Source organism: Homo sapiens, chromosome 11 (assembly GCF_000001405.40).
Source record: "Homo sapiens chromosome 11, GRCh38.p14 Primary Assembly".
Taxonomy (NCBI): domain Eukaryota; kingdom Metazoa; phylum Chordata; class Mammalia; order Primates; family Hominidae; genus Homo; species Homo sapiens.
In genome coordinates this window covers 17,974,319-17,999,879 of record NC_000011.10, presented here as the reverse complement: position 1 = coordinate 17,999,879, position 25,561 = coordinate 17,974,319, and the positions used below count along the sequence as shown (strand labels likewise).

Below are 25,561 nucleotides of genomic sequence, written 5' to 3'. Positions count from 1 at the left end.
ACTGAGGCACAGAGTTAAAGTGCTTGTGTAAGCTTATACAGGGAGTAACGTAGAGCTTGGATCAGAGCCTGGGATGGTTTGGATCCTAAGGCTCATATTTTTTGCAGGGAACTGCACAGCCTTCCTAATGGATTTTATTGTTTATTAATTTAAAAGCTTTAAGTGAGCTTGTCTCCTGTACTGTGAGTGGGTGATGGGACTGACAGTCTGTGTGTGAGGGGGACAGGGAGGTGGCGTGTGGGAGAATGGTGACCCTTTTATCTCTCCCCTTTTCATTTTTTCTGCTCTTACTCCTTTTGAACTGAAGGACAGCACTAATTGGCTGTGGCAGCTGAGGCTCAGGTGCTTCGTGAGTCCACTTGTGGAGTGGAGGAAGGAGAGAGGAGGTGAGGAAGAGCTCAATGCAGGACTGTGCTGATAGTCCTGGGCTTAGCATTGATTATACTTCAAAAAAAATTCAACTTTTTATTTTGAGATAATTGCAGATGCACATGCAGCTGCAAAAATAAAACAGACCCTGTGTGTTCTCTCCCGGTTTCCCCTAATGGTATCTTGCAAAACTATAGTACAATAACATAATGAGGATATTAACATTGATACAGTCAAGATATAGAACAGTTCCATTACCACAGGAATCCTTCCTGTTGCCTTTCTATAGCCACACCCATTTCTACCTGCCTATAACCACTTCTTAGCCCTAGGCTAAGCACTCTTCTGTTCTCCATCTCTATGATGTTGTCATTTCAAAAATGTTCTATAAATGGTATCATACAGTATATAACCTTTTGAGGTTGGCTTTTTTCATTCAACATAATTCCGTAGACATTCATCCAAGTTGTGTATATCAGTAATTCATTCCTTTTCATTGCTGAGTAGTATTTGATGGTATGGATGTACCACAGTACTAATCTGTTAGGGCTGCCGTAACAAAATACCACAAACTAGGAGGCTGAAAGAACAGACATTTATTTTCTCACCATTCTGGAGGCTAAAAGTATTAAGATTATTGTGTTGTCAGGATTGGTTTCTCGTGAGTTTTTTTTTTTTTCCTGGCCTGTAGGTGACCACCTTCTTGCTCGGTTCTTGCATGGCCTTTTTTGGGTGTGCCTGTGGAGAGGGAGAGATTTCTGATGTCTCTTCCTTTTTATAAGGACACCAGTCCTATTAGATTAAGACCCTACACATATGACCCCCTTTAACTTTTATTGCATTCCATAGCCCCTATCTGCAAATCTAGTTACAGTGGGCATTAGGGTTTCAACAATTTCAACATCTGAATTTTAGGGGGATACAGTTCTTCCCATGACTGTATATAAATACACACATACACATACACACACACACACACACATATAAACATATATATATATAACACACACACTCACACATGCATATATATATATATATATATATATATATATATATATATATATATATATGTATGTATGTATGTATGTATTTTTAAGATAGGGTCCCCCCCTGTTGTCCAGGCTGGGGTACAGTGGTGTGTTCATGGTTCACTGCGACCTCAAACTTCTGGGCTCAAGCGATCCTCTAGGTTCTGCCTTCCAAGTAGCTGGGACTACAGATATGTGCCACCACACTCAGCTAATTTTAAAATTTTTATTCTTGTAGAGATGGGGTCTTGGTATGTTGCCCAGGCTTGTCTTGAACTCTCAGCCTCTGACAGTCTTCCTGCCTTCTCCTCCCAAAGTGTTGGGATTACAGGTGTGAGCCTCTGTGCCCAGCCTGAATGAGGTCTACATATTGTAATTAGTTGATATGTATCACAAGTCTTTCTTTCTTTTTTTAAAAAATTATTTTTTTCTTAATTTTATCATGGTAAAATATACGTAGTTTACAGTTTATTATCTTAACCATTTTTAAGTGTATAAGTACATTCATATCATTATGCAATCACCACCACCATCCATCTCCAGAACATTTTGTCTTGCAAAATTGAAACTCTATACCCATTAAACAATAACTCCCCATTCCCCATTCCACTGGCCCATGGCAATCACTATTCTACTTTCTGTATCTATACTTTTGACTACTGTAAGTCTCTCATCTAAGTGGAATCATACAGTATTTGTCTTTTTTGTGACTGGCGTATATTTCACTTAGCATGATGTCCTCAAGGTTCATCCATGGAGTAGGATATATCGGCGTTTAGATACTTTTTAAAGTGGATAATATCCATTGTATGGATATATCACGTTTTGCTTACCATTCATCTGTCAATGGACATTTGAGTTGCTTCCATGTTTTAGCTATTGTGAATAATGCTGCTATGAACATGGGTGTACAAATATCTCTTCAAGATCCTGCTTTCAATTCTTTTGGATGTGTACCCAGAAGTGAAATTATTAGTTCATATGGTAATTCTATTTTTAATTTTCTGAGGAACTACCATACTATTTGCCACAGAGGTTGTACCATTTTGTTTCCACCAGGAGTGCACGAGGTTCCAATTTTTCCAAAAACTCACCAACACTTGTTATTTTCTGGTTTTTAAAAATAGTAGCATCAAAATGTGTATGAGGTGATATCTGTTTTCATTTCCCTGATGGTTAGCAATGTTAGCATCTTTTCATGTTTTTACTGGACACTTGTATATCTTCTTGGAGAAATGTCTATTCAAATCCTTTGCACTGCACCCTCCTCCCTCGCTTTTTTTGTTGAGACAGTGTCTCATTCTGTTGCCCAGGCTAGAGTGCAGTGGCGTGATCTTGGCTCACTGCAGCCTCCACCACCCAGGCGCAAGTGATCTTCCCACCTCAGGCAGCTGGGACTGCAGGTGTACACCACCATGCTTGGCTAATTTTTAAATTTTTTGTAGAAATGAGATCTCACTATATTGCCCAGGCTTTTCTCAAACTCTGGGCTCAAGCAATCCTCCCATGTCAGCCTCCCAAAATGCTGGGATTACATCTTTGCCCATTTTTTAACTGAGTTGTTTCTTTTGGTTGTTGAGTTTTTGGAGTTCTTTATATATTCTGGATATTCATCTCCTGTCAGCTATCTGAAGTCTCTTATAAAGTTTTTCCTCTTTTTTTTTTTCCTCTCGAAGTCAATTTGTTGAAGAGATTGTAAGTTTTTATTTCAACACTGTGCTTTGCTCACATTGTGCTCAGTGGTCATAGCTTATTTTTCACAAAACAGGCTTGTCTGTTTATAGCCTTAAAAAGGACTGCTGTTTATAGGATACTCCCAAAGGAGCAGAACCTTAATGTTGCTGTTGGGTGATGGATCCTAGTTTCACACACCTGAGTGTAGATCAAATATCTAGAATTTCATATTTGCATTTGTATGAGGTTCAGAACATAGGTACATGAATTAGATTCAGTGGGCATGAAAGTAAAAGGCCATTCCGCTGAAATCATGGCTATTAAGAAGCTATCTTGCAGTCATAAATATGTATTTACTTGGCAATTAGGAATCTTTGAATTCATCTTGGTGTCGTGGAAAGGGCACTACATTAGGTGTTAGGAAAGCTGAGTCCTGGCATTTTCTCTGCTGTTACCTTCCTGCCTGAGGAGACAAATCGCATCCTCTCTTCAGGGCCTCAGTTTTCTCATCTACTGAATGTGAGGAATGGATTTGATGATCTTCAAGGTTCTTTTCTGCTTTGTCTGGGATCTGAGTTGTCTTTTCAGGTTAATCATGAATAAGGTGTCATTCCACTGATTTGACTCTGAAGGAGTGTCCTGGAACTTTTTGTAGGAAGTTATGTGATATTGGAATTTGCTTTGATGGTCTTAGTCTGTCCTGAAGACTGGATTTGTGATTGGCTTGGTGGTAATCCCTGGGCCAGTTACAGGACCTCTTGAAGCAATTGAGCTTCTCCATAACACTCATATTAACTGAGAAAGAATTGGGAATTTCTCATAGCAGTGAGGTTCAAAGAGCAATCTAGTCTTATCCTGATGTGCATCTTCTCTGCTTTCTCTTCCATTCTGTTGGGAAGCGAGTGGCATCGTGTTCCAGTGGGGGACTGGTTTGGCATCATGTGGACGACGGTTGTGCCCTGGGCAGACTCTTCCATTGTTTTTCACAGCAAAGGAACCAAGCAGAGTGACAGGTAAGATGCTTCTTTCTTTAGTCCTATATTTGTTCTTTGTCAGGAAGTAGAGACATAAACATGCAGAAGAGGATTAAATGGATTTTTGATTTTGCTATTTCTTGGTCTCTCTAACTTTCTCTATTAGTTGGTCTGTTAGTCTTGCTGGCATTGTTTGTTGGCCCAGTAGAAGCAACCCTCTTTGCTGCCAGAGTTTGGAACCGATTGAGGCATAGATGCAAGTCAGGTAGGTGGAGATTGAAATGGTAACTCTAGAACTGTTAAAAGCTAGGTTGGAAGACATGATTAGAGGCTCACTATGACTATATATTGTCTTCAAACCCCTAATTCTGAAACTCAGATTGAATTTACCCACCAAGCACCGGGGTACTTGTATAGAGTTGGCCCTACTAAACTTAACGCCTGACCAAGAGGACATGAGGATGTACCCTCTCTTCAGGCAGGCACACCCCAAAGAGGGAACCCAGGAGGACCATGCCTTGCATGGCCAGTTCCTTCTCCCAAAAAGGAAGCAGGAGTGAGTGAGGATGTAGACAGAGGGGCCAGGAGTGTTCCCACAGGGAAATCTCTCTACGCGAAAATACGAGGAGTAGGTAATATGTGTTCTGCCCAAAGGTCTGTTGGTCATTTGGTCTGTATTTTCTCCTTCCTTTTCTTCCCCCCACCCTTCTTCCCCTGTCTCTCTCTCTCTTTCTTTCTCTCTCTCTGCTCTCCTTGTGGGCCTTTCTCCCTCTGTATACAGCACCATGTCTCCATTTCCTCCTCTTCTCCCTTTTCTGCTTTCTCACTCTTCTACTTTGTGACCGAGTTTACCCAGGCTTGGCTGTAGGAAAAACTTGTATAGGAGACTTGTAACTACTTCTTCTGTTGCCTGGAACAAATCAGGGATTTTTGAGGATGGTGGGAAGGGGTGGGGGAAGAATAGGAAAGGGTGGGTTGCAGTGGGAGTGATGTAATTGGGTGTTGAGATCATTCTAATTTTTCTAAGTCCTGGAGGTGTTCTCTTTCAGCTAGGGGTGGGCTTAGCTTCCCTGAAACCCATGGGTTGAGCTGGGGAAGGTCCTCTTAGAAAGGAGAAGGAGCATTGGATGTGGGACAGGTAGTCCACTTCACATGACATTAGAAACATGTATAATGTAAACTTGGACTTCTCAAACATTTTTGTCTTCTTCATCAAGGTATTCACTTCTCCCCAGGCATATCCTGCCTTCTCATTTCTCTGTGCTTATGGGAAAACTGTTACCTCTGCCCGAAATGCCTTTTCCTTTGTGTTCCCTCTGGGAAAAATTCTAAGAATTTTTTTTTTTTTTTTTTTTTTTTGAGACAGAGTCTCACTCTGTCGCCCAGGCTGGAGTGCAGTGGCGCGATCTCAGCTCACTGCTAGGTCCGCCTCCCGGGTTCACGCCATCCTCCTGCCTCAGCCTCCCGAGTAGCTGGGACTACTGGCGCCTGCCACCACGCCTGGCTAATTTTTTTGTATTTTTAGTAGAGACAGGGTTTTCACCGTGTTAACCAGGATGGTCTCGATCTCCTGACCTCGTCATCCACCCGTCTCGGCCTCCCAAAGTGCTAGACCTAGCTCAGATACACCTTTCTCAGTAAAGACCTTTTCTTTTCTAGTGTTCACTGCATTAACTTCACATGCATGGATAGCACAGTATACTGTTATTATGAATTGTCTGTATGTTTTCTCATATGCTGAAGATTATGAACTTTTAAAGGGTGGAAGCGGTGTGTCATTTTGCTCTATATTTTAGCACAGGACCTGTTATTAGAGGGAAAAAATGTTTTTTATTTTATTTCATTTAAACAACCTGTTTGGCATCTGTTTGGGTGGGGCACAGCTTACATTCAGAGTTGGTTTTGGGGGAGTTCCCTGATGAGACATTAGAATGGATCATCAGCTTCCAGTCCTCAAAGTCTTTCACTTTTCGTCCTCCCGTTCTCACCTCATTGCCAAAAGTTCTGGAGCTGGAACCCGGGCTGTTCCCTCCTCACCTGGCCATTAGGGGCCCAGTACTTCCTCTCTGGTGAACATGGGTGAAAACATCTGCTTTGTCCTGTTATCATTCCAGAGGACACTTGAAGGTGTGAGGGCCATTTTATTACAACAGTTATTAATTAAAAAGAAGTGTCAGAAAAAAAAGTTACAGAATAAGTCTGCGTCTATCTGCATGCTAGACTGCATGTCATCACAGGCTAGCTCCACTTTTAGCAGTGTAATTAAGGAAGGAAAAGTGCTGAATTTGGAGAAAGAAGCCCAGTTCAGAATCTGGTTCTGATTGTGTATTCTTAGGAGGCTTGGGGTTATTTAAGTGCCTGCGTTTGATAACAGCTGAGTGTATGAGATGTCATTGCTCTAGACCCACTCAACTGCTGGAGTTAGGAAATAGACACACAGACACACACACATGCACACACATTTTTACATACACACACCTATGTCTATTTATCTGTCTCTACTAGAAATCATGAATTTACACTGATTTTTCCAATTACTATCCAATATTACACGGTTGATTATAGCCTTTCCCCTTTTCATATCTATACCTTTCCTCCCCTCTTTGATAGTGATGAATCTGGCTCCTTTATCCTGAATGTATTTACTTGATTGTTCAATCTCCTGGCATGTTACCAGGCTCCCTACAATGCCAGCCATCTTCTTGGCCAGTGCTGCTGACTCAGGCCTGCCTGCACTGGCTGAGTCTCTCCCACGCCCAGGTGGTACTGGCTGAGTGCCCCCTCTCTGCCCAGTTTGTTCTGTTATAAATGTAATTCAGAAGAACATTTTTTCTTTTGTAGGTCTAGAGAATTCTAAAGCAATGTGTGTTCTTGCTGGCTCAGACCACTCAGCTTCATTAACAGGTAGGTACCAGCTCTTTCACGGTTTAACATGCCATTCAGGATTCTGTATGTGACTGCCTGAAGTGGTGATATTGAAATACAGAGGGAATGTCATAGACTTTGGAGCTAGAATTCTGATGCTACCACTGGTATGCTCTTAGGCAAATTACTTTTCCTTTCTGAGACCATCTTCTTGTCTGTAAAAGACTTTGTGGGCAGTTACGAGAATTAAATATAATACATATAAATCATGAATAGCAGACATAGGCTCACTTCCATTTCGTCTGAGTTTGCTTTCTTAACTATACAATAAGGATAATAATGTCTTCCTCTCAGGGTAATGGTGGTTGTCAAATCATGTAATCAACAGTAAATTTATATATAACATATATGGATAACACAGTGTAATATAATTATGAATTCTTTGTAGTTTTCTGATATACCTACGATTATGAGGGTAGAAGCTGCTCTCTTATCCATCTAATCTATTTTGGTGTGTATTGTAACTGTCTAAGCTCTCTACCTGTGTATACTCTCTAGTTGTCTAATCTCAAAGTAACCTGTTTTATCCATCTATATCTTTCTAATCCATTTATCAGTCTCCATTTGTGTATCTATCTACTCTGTTTACCTATGTATCTATTTATCTTTAATCTTTGTAATATCTAATCTGTGTGTCTATATATCTAACTCTAGATATGTAGTTTTGTAAATATTTTATATTGTTATATGTTTCTCTAATTTATCTACTTCATCTCTTTGATCTATCTGTTTTTCTGTCTTAACTGTTTTTTTATCCTACACTATATCTCTCTCTTTGGCTGCGCATTCATCCTTCCATTTGAAACACCGAGCCAATACAGTATAAACTGTCTAGTGACTTTTCCTTCCAAGGCAATGCAGCATTTTCTTGAAAGTGACAGTAATCCCTTCTCTTTGGCCCACATTGCCCTGACCCCTGCTGGTAGACTGGAGACTATACATCTGAGAGATTTATAATATTTTGTTTGGTAAGACCTCTCACAGAGTTGAATGTATTCTATTTTTTAAGCAAAGAGGAGGGACTTCCGTACTTAGTGTTTTATGTGGAAATTCAGGTGTGCCCATAATATATGTAAATTAATGGTGGTATGCATTCTTCGACATCAAATTTGCAATGCAGCCCAGCTGAGAAGTTGTTATTTCAAGAGCACGGGAGCCATAATATGAAAGTTTAAATGCTTTGCAAATTCTGAGCTGCAGATAATTTGTCATTTAATGAATTTAAAACAAACATCTAATAAAAAAGCACCTACTTTTAACTTGTGTCTCACATTAGGTAGATTTATATATTAATATTTGTTAAAAGTGTTGAGTTGAAATGAATGCCAACTATAAGGGACTCCAGTGGGTATCCAGTTCCTCCCTTCCTTTTACAGAAGAAGGACTAGAGACCTTAGGGTGAGAAGTGATGTGTTCGTGCCCCACAGTCAATGAGGGATGGAGAAGGCATTCTTTTCTGAGAATAAAAGTAGACTACGAGGTGTTTCTGTTTTGTTCTAATTAATTTGAAATGACTGATGGTATGTAAACCTAGAGCTTGTCTAATTGTTTGCCAACTTCAACTTCTTAAAAATTCTTGTTGGTAGTAAATTTGTTATTTCATATGTAGGGCACTTTTATTATGGTGTTATTTATATATAAATGTTGAATATTTTAATTAAGATGTATTTTAAATATAAGAAATTAAATTTCTTTTAAAGTATACAAAGAACTTAAGTTTCATTTAAAGTATACAATTTAGTAATTTTTAATATATTCACAAAGTGAAATGGTTTTTGATATTTTGAAAATGAGCTAAAGATTATGGAGATTAATAGCCCTGCTGGACACTGTGGCTCACACCTGTAATCCCAGCACTTTGGAGGCTGAGGCAGATGGAATACTTGAGGTCAGGAGTTCAAGACCAGCCTGGCCACTGGTCTACTAAAAAATGGAGTTTTTTTGTAGAAACCCCATTTCTACCAAAAAATTCAAAATTAGCTGGGTGTGGTGGCACGTGCCTGTAATCCCAGCTACTTGGGAGGCTGAGGCAGGAGAATTGCATGAACCCGGGTGACGGAGGTTGCAGTGAGCCGAGATCACACCACTGTACTCCAGCCTGGGTGACAGAGCAAGACTCCGTCTCAAAAAAAAAAAAGATTAATAGCCCTCTCTTTCTTCATCTAGTTCAAGCTGTTACACATTGGATTTTGTTCAATGCTCTTTAGACACTTTCTCTGGAGTGGTTGTAGATTATATAACTATTTGGCATTGCAGCAGAATTTAATTTTACCTGCTGAGGCAACAGCATAATGATCCTCATCTGGAAGACAGTTTGACTTTCAAAAAGATGGTTTAGAGCTACTAAGATAAGTGAAGTTGTTTACACAGGCTTCATCGTCAGTGGCATCTTTGTAGCTCAGCAGTCCACTTAATGGATTGATACTTTGCTGAGGGGGCTTCTTTGCTATCTTGTAAGAGATCTTCATACTTTGCACACCCTGATGAAGTCCAGGAGGTTGACCTCTCTCTGGGAATGGAATACACCAAATTCACTTCATAGAACTGCAGAATGTCAATGTTGCAGGGTCACCCCAGTGACAAAAAGGTTTCACTGATTTATACTCCCTCATTTTGGAGTTGAGGAAACAGACCTAGAATGTGAAGTGATGTGCCCAGTGTCAAACAGTGATCGGGTAACAGATGGAACTTGAACTGGAGACTTCTGAACCTTAGTCTGAAGCCCCTTAATGATACTGTTTGACTTTCTGTCAGTTTTTTGGAATATACTAGACTGCCCTAGGGCAAGCAATACTATCAAGTTTTATTGGGAAGCTACAAAATGCAGTGAAAGCAGAAGACCTGGCTTCTAGTCCCTATTTGACTCCTTATTAGCCATGTGATCCTGAAAAGTAATTTAATATCTTCCAGCCTTGATTAATTTATCTTCTAGAACAGTGCTAATAGAAATATAATATGAGCCATAGTTCAAAAAGTAAAAAGAAACAGGTGGGATTAATTTTAATAATATATCTACTTAACCCAGTATATCCAAAATATTATTTCAACATGTAACCCATATCAAATTATAAGGAGCCACACTCTTTTTTGCACTAAGTCTTTGCAGTCCATTGTGTGAGAGAGTAGCATTTCACTTACAATGTATCTCAGTTTGGGCTAGCCACATTTCAAGTGTTTAATAGCCACATGTAGGTGGTGAACTACTGTATTGGGTAGTACAGCTGTAGATCCTTAGATTATAAGGGTTGGAAAAGCTGAGGAGTCACAAATTGACAAGCCATAGGCTAAATTATTGCCCATGGCCTCATTTTGTATGGCTTTCATTTACAAAATATTTTTGAATGTGAATGCCTTTTAGATAGGCACGTACTCTCTGGCTTGCCACAGTCACCTGCCAGTCATTCTTGTTACCAGTGTCATCAGTCATATTGTCTGCCCTTCTAGACCAACAGCCTTCCCTTCCAATTTTCAGCTGGTGAAACTAAGTCTTAGAGAGGAAGTGATTTGTCCAAGGTCAATAGCTAGTTAGCAGATCCAGGAATAGAAGCCAGAGTCACTTGACTCTGAATTTGTTCTCTTTCTGTTAAATCACAATGTCAGTCAGTCACTTTCCTGCTTATATCACAGGATTATTGTGAGGTTAAAACAAACTGAAGTGCTATCCAGATGCGATTCTATAGCATTATATTTTCTGCTGGACAGGGCATGCAGTGAAATAATCTTATGTTTAAAAAATTTAAGCTTAAATAATGTATCTTTTAACCTGTTATTTTGAAAATTTAAAGCATTTTTTTCATACAAAAGGTATAGGCATATATTTTAAAAACGTAGAAAATAGAGAAATGTGTCTCATACACATGGTAGATGTTGCATAAATATTTGTTGAATGAAAAAGTGAAGAGAAAACCACACATTTTTATTTCTTAAGCTACTAAGAACATTTGGCCTTGTTTTTTATGTATAGAATTTTTGAAAATCTTGTAATAAGTTATTATGGTGTACACAAATTTTGTAACCTGCTTGGCTCCACTCAACCTTGTAGTCTAAGTATAAAACAACTTCTTTTAACCACTTATTTTTTAGACTTCTGTTATTTTCCATCATTTTGGACTAATGTTCCCTCACCTCTTTTGTTACCCTTCTGTTTGTTTAAGATGCAGGAGAGGTGTATGTTTGGGGAAGCAACAAGCATGGGCAACTGGCTAATGAGGCTGCTTTCCTTCCTGTGCCCCAGAAAATAGAAGCACATTGTTTCCAGAATGAAAAGGTCACTGCCATCTGGAGTGGATGGACACACCTGGTTGCTCAGACAGGTGAGACAGTAGCAGAGAACTTACGGTTGGTAAGAGCAGCTGGGGGACAGCTGTCTAAGCAGCCATGAGTGCTTGGGGTTAAGCCTTTTTACTGATGAAAGCTTAAAGATCAGAGATGGGGATACTGGGATCTAGTTCTGCCACCAGCCAGATATGTGGCTTTTCCTCTCAGAGTCACAGGTTTGTACCCAAAAGGGCAAGCCTGGGTTAAGTTAACTCCTTCCGGTCCTAAGAGCCCATGAGGTTTTGAGAAGGGATCCATTGCAGCAAGCGTCATCCAGAAATTTGTCCAGCTTGTTGGGAAGTTCTTACTTTGTCATAGCTATTTGCATGTCTAAGTCTAAATTAAAAGCATCAGAAAATGTTAAGTGAAAGATAAATATCTAAAGATTGAGGTAGGAACATTATTTTGATTCATAGCTGGCATGGAATTCTGATTTAAACTTTTGTTGACCTAATAAACTATGTGTATTGGTTCAGACATCTCATATATTCCCTCAGATGTTACCACATCATGCCATACAGCTTTTGGCATCTTCATCTTTTCTTGAATCTTCGTTTATTTCTCATCTTTCCCTTAGGGCAGTTCTACTTTCCTGGCCTTCATATTGTTAACTTTGTCCTCAGATTTTGTTTTTTCATGGCCTCTATTCATCCCTGCCTTCCTGCCTGTTGATTTCACAGAGTTCCCCAGCCAATTTGAAATTCCCAAGATCTGTTATCATGTCAAAGTATTCTGAGCTTCAGGGGTTCTCAGGAGTTCCCTTGCCTACTCCTGTCCTGCTTGCTAGCTACACACACATCTCTAGACTCCCAAATATCTAGTGACTCTTATTTCAGAAGTTTCTGGCTTTTGCAGGTTTTCAGGTCAGCTTCAGCTATCCTTGGTAAGTCACATATACTACGCATTTCTATACACAAATGTAGACTTATGAGCAGTCATACCTATGATGCTTTTAATTGGTCTTTTAAAACATTTCATGATCATTTTGCAATAGAGGCCTGTATAACAAAGGTGTATAATAAACTTTCCATATTACCGCTTTAGAGGATGCTCTAAGCAAAGTGTGTCATTCATTAGGAGGAAGGTCGTCACTTTCCTCAAAGAGATTCAGATTGCTTGAAGATTGGGCTTATCTACAGAACCTTTTCCTAAAGAGACTCACTGAGCATAGTAGCTGGGTTTTGTATGTTTGTAATTGTTGATATCTCTCTTTTGTTTCAGATAATGAGCTCTGTGAAGGAAGCCACCAGATTAGTCTTGCTCACTTCTGTATCTCCAATGCCTATCAAAGAATTTACTCATTTTCCTGCATCAAACTCTTTATAGTTAAAAGAGACTACACATACACAAATGCATACAAGGCAGGGTAGATAGCTAGGATTTCTGACCTCTTTCCTGGGACTTAGATGTTCATGAACAGAAAGCTTCTTTGTCTCTTTGGATTCTGGTGTCCAACCAAATAGGTTAATGTTTATTAGGCACCTATTGAGCAATGTGTTAAGCCTTGGGGAAATGGAGGAGAAAAGACATAGGCCATATCTTCCCACTAGAATATGTAGATAGGTGTAAGCCTAAGAATATAGAGATGGAAAACTTTATCATCCATGCATCATACAAATAGTGAGGGTCTTTTTATGTACCATGCCTTGTACTAGATGTAAATCTTGCCCTTAAGGAGTCCACTGTCCACTAGGGGTGATAGACCTGTGATAAAATTTTACTACATTCCAGTATGAGATGTGCAACAATACAGCTAAGTACAAAGGGCAAAAGTCGCATAGAAATTAGCAGTAGTCTTGAGTGATTGGGTGTTCACAGGTAGGCATTTCATGGTTAGTCAGTCTTCCAAGAATTGCAGTACATTAAAATACACTTACTACCAAATGGTGGTGAATTTGGTTGTCTGTCAGTAAACCCTTTAACTAGTCAGGTAGTTGACTAATGAAAGACATAAAGATGTTGCTTCTTTGATTTTAGCTTTGAAGCATTCTAGCTGATGCGATTCCCACATCTGGGCCAGCAGCCCAGCCCTTGGGGTGGGAGGTTGGAACCCATGTCTCTGACACTGTCTGAGTCACCCCAGCTGCTCTGGAGCTCAGCGTCAGGTTTCTGCCTCCTTTCAAGAGCATGATTTTTTGGTAACGTTTCAGCTATTTACTTAGCTTGTTAATTCAGATTGCTTGTTTTTGTACATTGCCACTTTCTCCTTTATCCTAAGGCCAGAATGGTTAAACCTGGGATGTTTGAATGTCCTGGTTTTTGTACTGAATTTTGGGTAAATGGGAGTTTCCGGTTACATGATTCACCAATTTTGTGTTCCTTCTAGCAGCAGTGGAGGCCCGTGCTCTGGCCCAGTGTCGTTGAGAAGAAACACCCAGGGCTTCTATTTAATCAGACTCAGCACTCACATTAATGGGAATAAGATTTCCTCACAGGGTCAGGAGCAGCTCATTAGTGGAACAAGGAGTTATTTGACTGTAGTTGTTTTCACAAGCTCCGGTGGTGAATTGTTCCTGGAATGAACTTGCAGGCCACATCAGCACAGAGGCTGCTCTCAGTCTCATTCTGGGAGGCATTAGTTGTGTGATATTGATTAAAAAAGAGTTTATGCACAGACACTATTGGCGTCTAATGGGTAGAGGCCAGGGATGCTGCTGAACATCCTACAATGCAAGGGCAGTCTCCTATAACAAAGAAGTATCTAGCTTCAAATGTTAATAGTGTCAAGATTGAGAAACACTGCTCAATACTGGACATCCCCAGTGGTAGGTGCTTAGCTAAGGCAGTTCACATGGTATCAGAATAACTTTATAGATTGTCTGTATGGGAATCTGGGATGTGTTCTCTGCCCTCCCCTCTCAGGAGTCTGTCTGATGCCTGCCTGCAGTGTTTGTGATGGAAAAATACTTTTCTCTGTTAGTCAGAGGCACTTGGAAAGAGTCCAAGAGAACCTGTTCTAATCTGGGAGAGTTGGCAAGGGTACCTGTGTCTCAGGCTCATGGTGCTGCATTCTAGAAACCTTTCCCAAGCTGCTTAATGTTCCCGATCATTGTTCTCAGGAACTTCATGGGACTCCTGGGTGACTTTATCCAGGCTCAGTGACCTGCAGGTGTCTCATCTGAGATTCATGGTTTCCTGGCTGGAGGTGCTTTTAATGAGAGTTGGATGGCAGATCTGGGTGCCTTCCTAGTTTGTTGACCTTGATTAAGTCACTTTACCTGTTTAGGCCTCAGTTTCCTCAACTCTGAAGTCTGGTATTAAAACCTGCCTGCATTCTACATAGGGCTGCTATGATGTTCAAATGAACGAATCTGTGAAAGATCCCAACTATTGTAAAATGCATACATAAGTGATGGCTGCCTGGGGTATGTAAGTAAATTAAAGACTTAGTAGTTGCTTTTAGAAAGACTTCTGTTTCCACAGGGATAATGCCACCTTGAGACTACTAGCCTGAAAGCTCATGAGCTGGCCAGGGATGCCATACTCAATATCAAACTCTGACAGCAAAGTTTTCTAAAGTCTTTTACTTGCATGCAGTAGGCAAGTGGCTCTTTCATATTATCAACAACTTGGAAGATTTTCGTGGCCTAATTTGTAATATTACCTATTAAAATTCAGGATACTCATCCCAATTTGTAATTGTGTACATCTCTTTGTATTCTTATTTGTTTAATGTCTAGACTGTAAATTACATGAGAGCAGTGTCTGTTTTGTTCATGGCCATATCCCCAGCATCTGGCACAGGCCTGATACATAACAGATGATCAGTAACTAAGTGCTGAATGAATAAGTAAATGGCAAGGTAGAGAAAAACCTGGGCTTTGAAGTCAGATAGACCAAGGCTTGAATCTTAGCTCTCTTAACCTACTGATTGTGTGACTGTGGGCAGCTCCACCTCTCTCTGTCTCCATTGTCACCACCCTAGTTCAGCCCACTGTCACCTCTTAACTAAATCCTGCAGTAGCCTTTAACTGGTGTTCTGGTCTTCCCATATTTACTCCTTGATATAGTTTGGATGTGTGTCCCCACCCAAATCTCATGTTGAAATGTAATCCCCAGTGTTGGAGGTGGGGCCTGATGGGAGGTGATTGGATCATTGGGGTACATTTCTCATGAATGGTTTAGTACCATTCTTCTTGGTACTGTCCTTGCCATTGTGAGTGAGTTCTCATGAGATCTGGTTGTTTAAAAGTGTGTACCATTTCCCTCTTGCTGCCTTGCGCCTGCTCTTGTCAGATGATGTCCAAGCTCCCGCTTCCTCTTCCACCATGATTGTACGCTTCCAGAGGCCTCCCCAGAAGCTAATGCTCGAACTATGCTTCCTGTACAGCCTACAGAACCATAAGCCAATTAAACCTCTTCTCTTTATCAATTACCTAGTCTTAAGTATTCTTTATAGGAGTGTGAGAATGACTAATATCCTCCCTCTCCCCTCCAACCCATTCTTCATACCTCAGTTGAAAGATCTCTTCAAACCCATTGTGTTACATTCATATGGCTTCCCATTGCTCTTATGATGAAAATATAATCCTTAGTGGTTCTACAGGTCCTATGTAATCTGATGTCTGCTGACCTTTCCAGTCCCATTTCTCACCATGCTAGTTCTTGATCCCTATCCAATCTGCACTCTGGCCTTTGCTTGGTCCCTTGAAAGCATCATTCATTTCCCACCATAGTGCCTTTGCACCTGATATTCCCTCTATTTGGCCACTTATCCATGCACCTCTTCTTCAGTTTGACTTAGCTAAATCCTTTTTTTTTTTTTTTAAAGTCTTAACCCTTAACTTAGGTATCTGGGAGAACTTCTCTTGACATTGCTGACTAGTCATTTCTCCTTTTTTTTTTTTCTGTTCTCATAGCACCGTAAACCTCTCTTTTGTGCTCTTTTTTGGTAGCATTCTTTGACTAATTTCCTTTCCCACTAGACTGTAAGCCCCATGAAGGCAGGAGCCATGCTTGCTTTTGCCTACTTAAGACATGTTGGACAAATGAAAAAACCCAACTTCTTTGAACTTATTTCCTTATTAGGAAAGTGGGGAAATAACTGCTGACCTGATATGAGGATTAAAAGAGATGATGTATTAAAGCATCCAGCACAGGACTGGCTCATATGTCTTTTAAAGACACATTAGCTCCCACTACTCTTTTGGAAACTCTTGAGCTCTCTAGAGATCACATGCTCCATTTCTTCTCTTTATATCTCTGTGGGGCTGGATGTGAATGTCTCTGGATGGGTGACAAGTTGATTCAGAACTCTCCTGAAGAGTGCAGAAAGATCAGTGCTTACAAATGCTGGTTACAAGTGCTGGTTGCTGACGGTGTGTTAGAATTTCAAAGGGAATTATTTACACAAGATCTAAACCTTAATGTGGAGTTGGTCAGAATGTCTAGAATCCAGTTGCTTTTGGGGTGCTGGAAGCTTTCCCTGAATCATGCAGTATCCCAAAGTAGCCTTGTGGTCTTACAAGGAATATGGATTGAAAAAGTGAGAACAAATACAGGGAGTTCTTTGACATTCTTTACTTTCTTCAGTGTTACCTTAAAGAGCCAAAGAGTCTTAGAAGTTTTAGAGAATCAATGATGGAAGAAGCAACTTCCTCACTTTGCAAATGAAAAAACTGAAACCAAGCAGAGAGAAAGTGACTTTATGGCAACTTTAAGCTAGAAATCTAGTTCTACTTTCCAGTGAAATTTTCTCCCTTCCATCGGTGTCCTCTTGATTTGTGGTTATATCCTTTTGATTGAGGTTTTTTATTATTTGTTTTCCTAAAGAGGGGAATTGTATGGTACATATGAAAGGGACTGGCTGTTAGCTACTCTTTCAAGTGTCACAGCCCAAGAAATATTTTATTGCATTTGATGTCTAAGCATTAGTGAAATTCAAGCCCAGCCATTGATTCACACTAAACTGAGTTTATAAATATACCTAATGCTGATTTTTCTGTTTTGGGGCCAAGATCCTTTTCAGAATAGGGTGACAGTATACATTACTCCATCTTCTTTGGGACCATATATCATGAAACTTCAACCAAGCCTGGGGAGATTCTGACCTCATGGGCTCTATTTAAAGCAGGTGCTTTGGAATTAATGATGCTTGTGCTTTAGAATTTTGAAAACCCCATGAGTGAAAGTCAAACTGAGCCCAAAGGCTTGTTTTGAAATGGATACTTTTTTATTCTTATTAAAGTCATGAGTTTTTATCCTAGAATCCTTAGAATGTCAGTAATGGATGGAAACTTAGAGATCATCTGGCCTTAATTCCTCAGTTTAGAGATGTGAAAACTGAGGACTAAATAGGGGAGGCACAGTGAGTGAATGAAGGAGCTAGGACCAGAACTCAATCAAGTCTCATGACTCTCAGTACAGTGTTCTTTCTGCCTTGTTACATTCTTTCCAGAGATGATGAGGAAGTGTGGACGACTTAACTAGTCAAATCCAGGGACCTGAACCAGGAATGACAGTTCCTTCTGTATAAGAAGTTCTGCTTTGGCCAGGCATGGTGGCTCACGTCTGTAATTCCAACACTTTGGGAGGCTGAGGCAGGTGGATCTCTTGAGCCCAGGAGTTTGAGATCAGCCTGGGCAGTATGGCAAAACTCTGTCTCTACAACAAAATATAAAAAAAATTATCTGGGTGTGGTGGTGCGTGCCTGTGGTCCCAGCTACTTGGGAGGCTGGGGCAGGAGGATGGCTTGAGCCCAGGAGGTGGAGGTTGCAGTAAGCTAAGGTTGCGCCACTGCAGTCCAGCCTGGGTGACAGAGTGAGGCCCTGTCTCAAAGAGAAAAAAAAAGAAGTTCTGCTTCAAGAAAACACTTATTCTTACCTGAAGAGTGCAGCCATAGATTTCTTTAAGGATATGTGTGTGGAGTAGAAACTGGGAAATGGTTCCTGAGAAGCGAGGGTCAGGAGGCCATTCTGGGATTCACAGAAGCAGCTACATGAGAATACAACAGCAATCATAACTCTCACGGACCACCTTTATTACTATAAAGTACTTTCACATCCATGTTCTCATATGAAGTTGGCAAGATGAGTATTATTATCCTTACTTCACACAAGAGTCCCTAATTCGTTAATGGCATTGCCCTGTTTCACACAGAAGGGCAGAGCTAAAACTTGAATCCCATCTTTTGTCCCCAAGCCTGCTATTCTAATTCCAGATCTTGTGTTTCTCAGAGAGCTCTAACTCATCAGCTAAACTTCTTTTACCCTTCAAAGAAACATCTTTCCCCAGCTTTTGACAGTGATACTACATTTCGGCAAGCAATTGGAAGGAAATTCATAGGTATCTTTAGTCCTTTAGCAGATATTTGTGAAATGCTTATCTATATGCATATAGTACTATGCTACAGAATACAGGGGAATATAAAATCCAGAACCACCTTTAGGAAGCTTGTGGTTGGATGAGCAACTAAATATTTAGTAGAAGAATAAAAAGATTGTGGCCAAGGGCCGAAGGAGTGACCCAGACACTGCAGGCTCTAGGATTTCAGGGGAAGGAGAGGTCAGTGTGGGTGAAGTTGGTCAGGGAAGGGTGTGAAATTGTGGTTGGGCTTTGGGAAGGTCACATTTTAATAGATGGAGAGTTTGACTTGCTTCTCTTGCTTTCTCTTTGTCCTCTGGCAAGACACTAAACTCTCTGGTCCCTTTCTTCCATCTGGCCAATACGTTTACATAATAATCTTTAAGGGTCATTCCAGCTCTGAAATTCTATCCTATAAAAAATAAAACTGGCCTAAAGAAATAGTCATGGATGTATTCAAAGATTAAGTATAATGCCATTTACTGCAGCCTAATTTATAATGACAAAAACAAAGGTATGGAAACAAATAAAATTGAAGAGAGATTGGTTAAACAAATTGTGGCAGAGCCATATGTTGGAATATTATATTGTCATTAAATAGAATGTTTTAGAAGGATATTTAATGACAGGAATACGCTCGTGGTATAGTAAGTGAAAAGAATGATTAACCATACTGTAACTTCTAATTTGTTGAAAGAAAAAAAGAATGTTTCTGTAGAAAAGACTAGAAGGAAATGGGCCAGGTGGGATTATGAGTGAATTTGTTTTCTATGATGAATTTTGAATATTTTCAATTTGATTATAGCTCCTATAAATACTATTTTAAAGTTAATAAGATCACTTACCCCTCAGTGCAAGAGACTGGCTCCTTTGCCATCTATTCCCATGTATATATGTCCTTGACAAGTCACTTGCACGGGCCTCAATTCGGAGGTTGCATGGAAGAGAGGCAAGATACTTTAGCAGGAGGCAGGAGAGTGGCCATCTATTTTTGGCTCGGTCATGAGTCAGCTTTGTGACTTTGGGTAAGTCCCTCCTGAATATCCCTGAGCCTCAGTTTCTTCATCTGAAGAGGGGAGTTGGAGGTCACAAAAGGTCCTTTAAGTTGCAAAATATATTTGTTCCTAAAGATGGATAATTTCTCCACTATTGTGGAACTGGCTAAGAGGCCTCTTTGGCTTCTTGAGCCTGGCCTCTTTCTTTTCTCTCCCGCTCCCCTGCACTTGGGCTCTGCTGGCTGCAGGCTGATTTCTTTCATTCAGAGTTCAGGGTGAATTGGAGTAGAAGTTGAGTGACAGGGTCTCTGCGCAGGTAGGGTGTAATGACAGCACTGAACCACTAGAGGGAAGCATTGTTTGATTACTTTCCCCTTTCCCATTTTTTAGCGGCTGTGTCTGCAGGTGAAGATCAGTCTTGATTTGCCTGGGGGTTTCAAATTCTAGCATTTTAGAATTAAAAGGACTTCGAAGATCATCCAGTAAAACCCTAGTATGCTGCAGATGTGCGATGATAGAGGCCTGGAAAAGCAAGCGACCTAGTTAAAGTCACACAATGTGCTTTTTCAGGGTCTACACTGTAAAGGAAGGCTGCAGACAGAGCCAAGGGTATGATCAGTTGAGTCCACAAAGAATAGACAGGTCCCATGTTGTGCAGAAACCTAAAGGATCTACTTGTATACTTGCATTCACTGAGCGCCTCTGGCCAGGTGTTAAGAGGCCTGGAGATAGAGAAGAAAAGATATAACCCTGCCCGGAGGAGCTGCTGTCTGGCAGGGGGAAGCTCACACAAACACACAATGCTACCCCAGGTGTCTTCCCCACTATTTGGTGGTCTGCCTAGTCTAGGATCCAGGCTGTGGTGGTGGCTTGGAGCCTGGTTTATGGAAGACCCTGCAGGTGTTCTTATGAATGATCACCTCCAAGATTAGGGAGATACATTGGATACCCCAAGTTTGTATTTCCAGTTAATTTCTGCAAGCAGTGCTCAGCCTGTTCACGTGCCATGCCTTACTATTTCTTGAGGTTTGCGAGGAATCCTGGCAGTTTTTTCCCCACCTTCAAACAGCTTTGTTCCTTGGCTCTAGGCTGACTTTATTTTTGGTTTGCAGGTACCCACCAGCCCTAAGCATTGTGGCAAAGTGAAACCGTGTACTGGCCTGGGAACCAGGCAGCTCTGTGATCTTATGCAGGTTACCTTCTGTCTTTGAGAAGGGAGGTCATGTTCTCAGCTGCAGCTGTGTCATCTCTGCTAGAGAGATGAAGCGTTATCATTATATTTGGATTTTGTGTTTGGCTGTGAATACCCATTGATCTGTGGTCTAGAGAAGTGTAGCATGTGTGCACCTGAAGCAGAAGCAGGAGTCACCCTCTGAAGTGGGTGTATTCGACAAGGGGCTGGGCCTGCAGGGCCACCAGATGGCAGCAGTAGGCAGCCAGCTAGCCTTGGGATGAGGCTGGTAGAGTCATCATTCGGAATTAGTAAGGTCAGAGCTGAAAGGGCCCCTGGAGGTCACCCAGGCCTTCCCTGTTTTTGTATGGATGGGAGAACCTAGGCCCAGAAAGGGAAAGGGTCTTGCATAAGGACACACCCTGAGTTAATAGCTGATAGTCCTTGCTCTTAACAGGAACTGATATGGATCTGACCTCTAGCTGGCTGCCCCATGGAGATCCAGGGGACAAGGGCCAGTGAGCCAGCTGTGGGAGAGGACCTGGCAGTGGCAGTTAACTGTCTGCCTTTTTCCTGATTTCTTCAAGGGCCTGGTCTTAATGATTTTTCACCTTCTCACTCACAGCAAAAGCAATGTGCACATCTTTTCTGCTCGCCTCTGCCCTGTCCAGTTCTCCTCCTCAGTTCTCTGGACCAAGGCTTCCCATCACACTGTGCAATGGATAGAATTAGGGGTCATCTCTTAAGTCCTATACCCCACAGATGGGCAGGCCCAGGGCCTTGCCAGAGACATGCTGAAGACATGAGTTAGCACAATTGGTTGAATAAGAACATTTTTTTTTTTTTAATTTCCAAGGGGATCAGGTTAGGGCAGGGAGCCAGTGTTTGCCAAGTACTTACTATGTACTAGGTGCTCTGCCAGGTACTGCTCTACAGCCTGAGGGTAATACTGCTGTAGCCCCTTAAGGTAGGGTTCATTTCCCTTCATTCTAGGTGAGGATTGAGGCTCAGAGAGGCTAAGTGGCTTGTATAAAGTACCATAGCTAGTTAGAAAGCAAAGCAGACACTTGAATCCTGCTGTGTTTGATATCAAAGCTTATTTTATTTCATCATGCCACTTCCTCTCAAGGTGACCTTATGGGAAATGTAGCAATTGACTATCTTATTCCATTCAGGCTGCTATACCAAGTGATATAGACTGGGTGGCTTATAAACAATAGAAACCTATGTCTTACAGTTCTGGAGGCTGGGAAGTCCTAATCAAAATACCAGAAGATTTGGTGTCTGGTGATGACCTGCCTCCTGGTTCATAGACTCTCACCTTTTTGCTGTGCCTCACATGGCAGAAGAAGTAAAGGAGCTCTCTGGGGTTTCTTTTATAAGGCCAATGATCCCATTCATGAGGGCCCTACCTTCATGACCTCATCACCTCCCACAGGCCTTGTCTCCATAATATTAAGGGTTAGGATTTCAACATATGAATTTGATGGGGACACAACCATTCAGTCTGTAGCAGCCCTTTAGGCTTTAGGGAGGGGGCAACAGATATTTTGTCTCTCCTTCCTGGAGAAAGCTTCTGGGGGAGTTATGGTGGTGAACTGCCAGAGGGAGGAGGCCTTTGAAGCAGGAAAGGGCAGGTATTTATTGGAGCAGGTTAGGGAGTGGTGGCTGGTGGTATAAAGCCCACTGAGAAATGGTTAAATACCTTTCCCCTCTGTGCCTGTGTTCTAGCAGTTCTTTCTTCCAGGAATGCTCGTCTCTGTGATTCCTGCATAGCTACTGCCTCACTTCCATTGGTTCTTGTCCAAATGTCACCTCTTACACTCTATTCCCTTCACTGTGTTATTTTTCATTATAGCAGTTTTCATTGCCTGAAACCATAGTGTCATTATATGTTTACTTATTTGTTGTCATTCTCTCCTAACCGAATGTGAGCCCCACAAGGTTAGGGACTTGGTCTGCTTTATTCATCCCTGGATTTCTCCAACTATAGACGAGAGACTCGAGTGCTGGTGGCATGGGATGGGTAGAACTTTTGGATGTGGAAGTGATGCTATTTCCAATGGCTGTGTTCAGGAGATACAGCCTGTAGCTGGCCCTGCCCTCTTCCTACCTTCTTGGAGAAGCCCAGGCCACAGAGCCTCAGCTCCCTGAGGCTGACAGTGATGCCTGATGCCCCAGCGTTTTAAGACCAGCTTTGCTCCTGCCTATCTGCAAGGCCTTGCCTTGAGACCTTGGCTTCCCCATCTGTCCATAGTGAGTGGGGTGACCAGCCATGCTGCAAGCTCACCAGATGGTTCTGGGAAGGGTGTAGAGGTCCCTGGCAGAGAGCTCAGTTTCCATTCAAAGAATCTTCCTCTTTCCTGATGGAGATTGATTTGTTCCAGGAGCTCTCTAAAAGTAAGCATTTAGTTACTGGCCTGTAATTTTGCCATCATTTTTAGGTTTTTGGCAGATGGCACTCTGCTTGCCCTTTCTCAGGGGACCTTGCCTATCCCATGGGTGCTCTCAATAATCACAGTGACAGCCAGGCACGGTGGCTCACTCATGTAATCCCAGCACTTTGGGAGGCCAAGGCGGGTGGATCACGAGGTCAGGAGTTTGAGACCAGCCTGGCCAATATGGTGAAATCCCATCTCTGCTAAAAAAAAAAAAAAAAAAAAAAAATGAAAATTAGCCGAGGTGGTGGTGCATGCCTGTAGTCCCATCTACTCGGGAGGCTGAGGCAAGAGAATCACTTGAACCCTGGAGGCAGAGGTTGCAGAGAGCCAAGATCACACCACTGCACTCTAGCCTGGGCGACAGAGTGAGTCTCCGTCTCAAAAATAAATAAATAAATAATCATAGACCAGTACCTTAAAGTGCTCTCAATGTGAGCCAAGGTGAAAGCAGCCCATTCTGAGGAATATTGGAGGAATCAACTCTTGCCCAATCAGAGAGTGACTTTTTACCTCAGGAGGAAGCTTAATGTGGCCAAAAGAACCCTGAAGAGCTAGGTGTAAGTTCTGATTTGGCTATTTGTTGGCTGTGTGATCTTGGGCAAGTCATTGGGCCTGAACTTCCTCACCTGTAAAATGAGGGCCTTAATTCCTAATTTGTCTGCTTCACAGGGGTGTCTTATATCCTTTACTCATTCACAATTCCTCCCTTTATTCCTTCACTCATTTGTTCAACAAATATTTGTTGCATAGGCAGAAGTGAGGGGAGGGCATTCCAAACAGAAGGAATACTGCGAAAAAATCTATAGAAGTGGGAAGTGCTCTGTGGTGTAGTTTGCTTGACCTGGGCCAGATGATAAGACATTGGGAACTTTTGGGTACAATGAGAAGGGGTCCTTGTTGAGGCGTTACTCTGTGAGTAGTGGAGGAGCAGCTGGAGGTTTCTGTGAGGAGTGGAGGTGTGTGAGAAACATAAACATTGAAAGGAGAGACCCTGACTCGGGGTGCTCTTGCAGTCTCCTCTGTTGAGGCCTCATGCTTGCTTTCTACTCATCGCTGTGGCTGAATTAGAAGTCCTCTGAATTCTTAGGGGAGCCCCTTTCAGGGGCTCAGGTGATTTTGAGAATCTATGAGATGGGGAGATGGGTGGGACTGGAGTTATCTGGTTCATTGGCCTTTCTTCTGGGAAGCTATTGTGAGCCATATGGAAGGTCATTCAGGAAACCATCATGTTACCTTTCATCTTGAAGCGTTTCTTAAAGGTCTAAAAATGAGCAGCTCTGGGGCTTCTCCTTATACCTCTCTGAGGAGATGGAGGTGTGTGAGGAAGGGGTCACTCACATTTATCAAGGGCACATGTATGCCAGGCATTTTACCAGGGCTTTACAAACATTTGTTTAATCCATATACAAATTTTGCCAAGTGAGGCTCACTCCCATTTTACACATGAGGAAACCGAAGAGACATAAAGAGACATGGGCTCACTCTACTTGGGTACTTAGCCTTGCTTCGCTCAATGTGAATTGCAGGTCAAGATCACCTTGTCAAGTTTGGGGGTGTTGTGAGGCTCAAATAAGATCATGGAAAGCACTTTGTAAACTGGAAAGTTACTGTGTGCATAGGCAGGGAGCCATCAATAGTACTACTGCTTCCCAGCCACATTCCTACATTGAGTTTTGTTTGGGCCACTCATTCCTGAGCTGATAGAAGCTTCTAGCCATTAGTTTCTCTTCTGCGCACTTTCTCCCCCAGCCAGCCCCAGAGTCAGTGGCTCTATTCACCACTTCTCTCCATTAAGCCCACAAATAAGAGCAATGTCCTTTTTTAGAATGCTAAAACTTTAAAACGTTACAGCACCAATTAATATCAGGGTAAACTTTCTTTTCTGTTTGCCATTTTGGTGAAAACAATAGTAAATTGTGGAATTTTAATCCTAGAAGGGACCATTTTATCCTTATTTGAAATTTGAGGAAACAGAAGCCCAGTGAGAGATGATTTGTCCCCATGGTCCCACAGCTAACACGTAGCAGAGCCAGCCAGGATTAGAACCCAATGGGTCCCTTGTCTAGGACCCCTCCACTGCCCCACATGAGCCCTTTTATGAGAGACTTTGGCTTCTTTGTGGAGGAAGAATCCAGTTTAATAAATTTCATTATACCAGCCCCTTTATGTAACAGGGCTGTTTCCAGGTCCTGGCAGATGGTCCATAGTAACAGTGCTTTGCTGATTTGGTTGGAGCTGAGCCTGTGAAATGAAAAATCCTCAGTAGCAGATGCCTCTCCCAGGCCCTGGCCATGGAAAAGTCCTCCTCTCCAAGGAAAGTACTGTAGCTTGGGTGGTAACTGTCTCTGGTGGGACTAAGTGTGAG

At 41.7% G+C, this 25,561-nt stretch overlaps 1 protein-coding gene across 3 annotated transcripts in view; it reads left to right on the top strand.

Moving 5' to 3' along the window:
• The window catches only part of SERGEF (secretion regulating guanine nucleotide exchange factor), a 225,000-nt gene that overhangs the window by 13,168 nt on the left and 186,271 nt on the right, over positions 1–25,561 (top strand). For all 3 annotated transcript variants that reach the window (NR_104041.2, NR_104040.2, NM_012139.4), the window contains exons 6-8: positions 3,971–4,084; positions 6,887–6,949; positions 11,125–11,283. Coding sequence is in view for 1 of the 3 variants with exons in the window: in NM_012139.4 (NP_036271.1) it covers positions 3,971–4,084; positions 6,887–6,949; positions 11,125–11,283 (336 nt within the window). In the remaining 2 variants the exon portion in view is untranslated. The remainder of the gene's footprint in view (positions 1–3,970; positions 4,085–6,886; positions 6,950–11,124; positions 11,284–25,561) is intronic.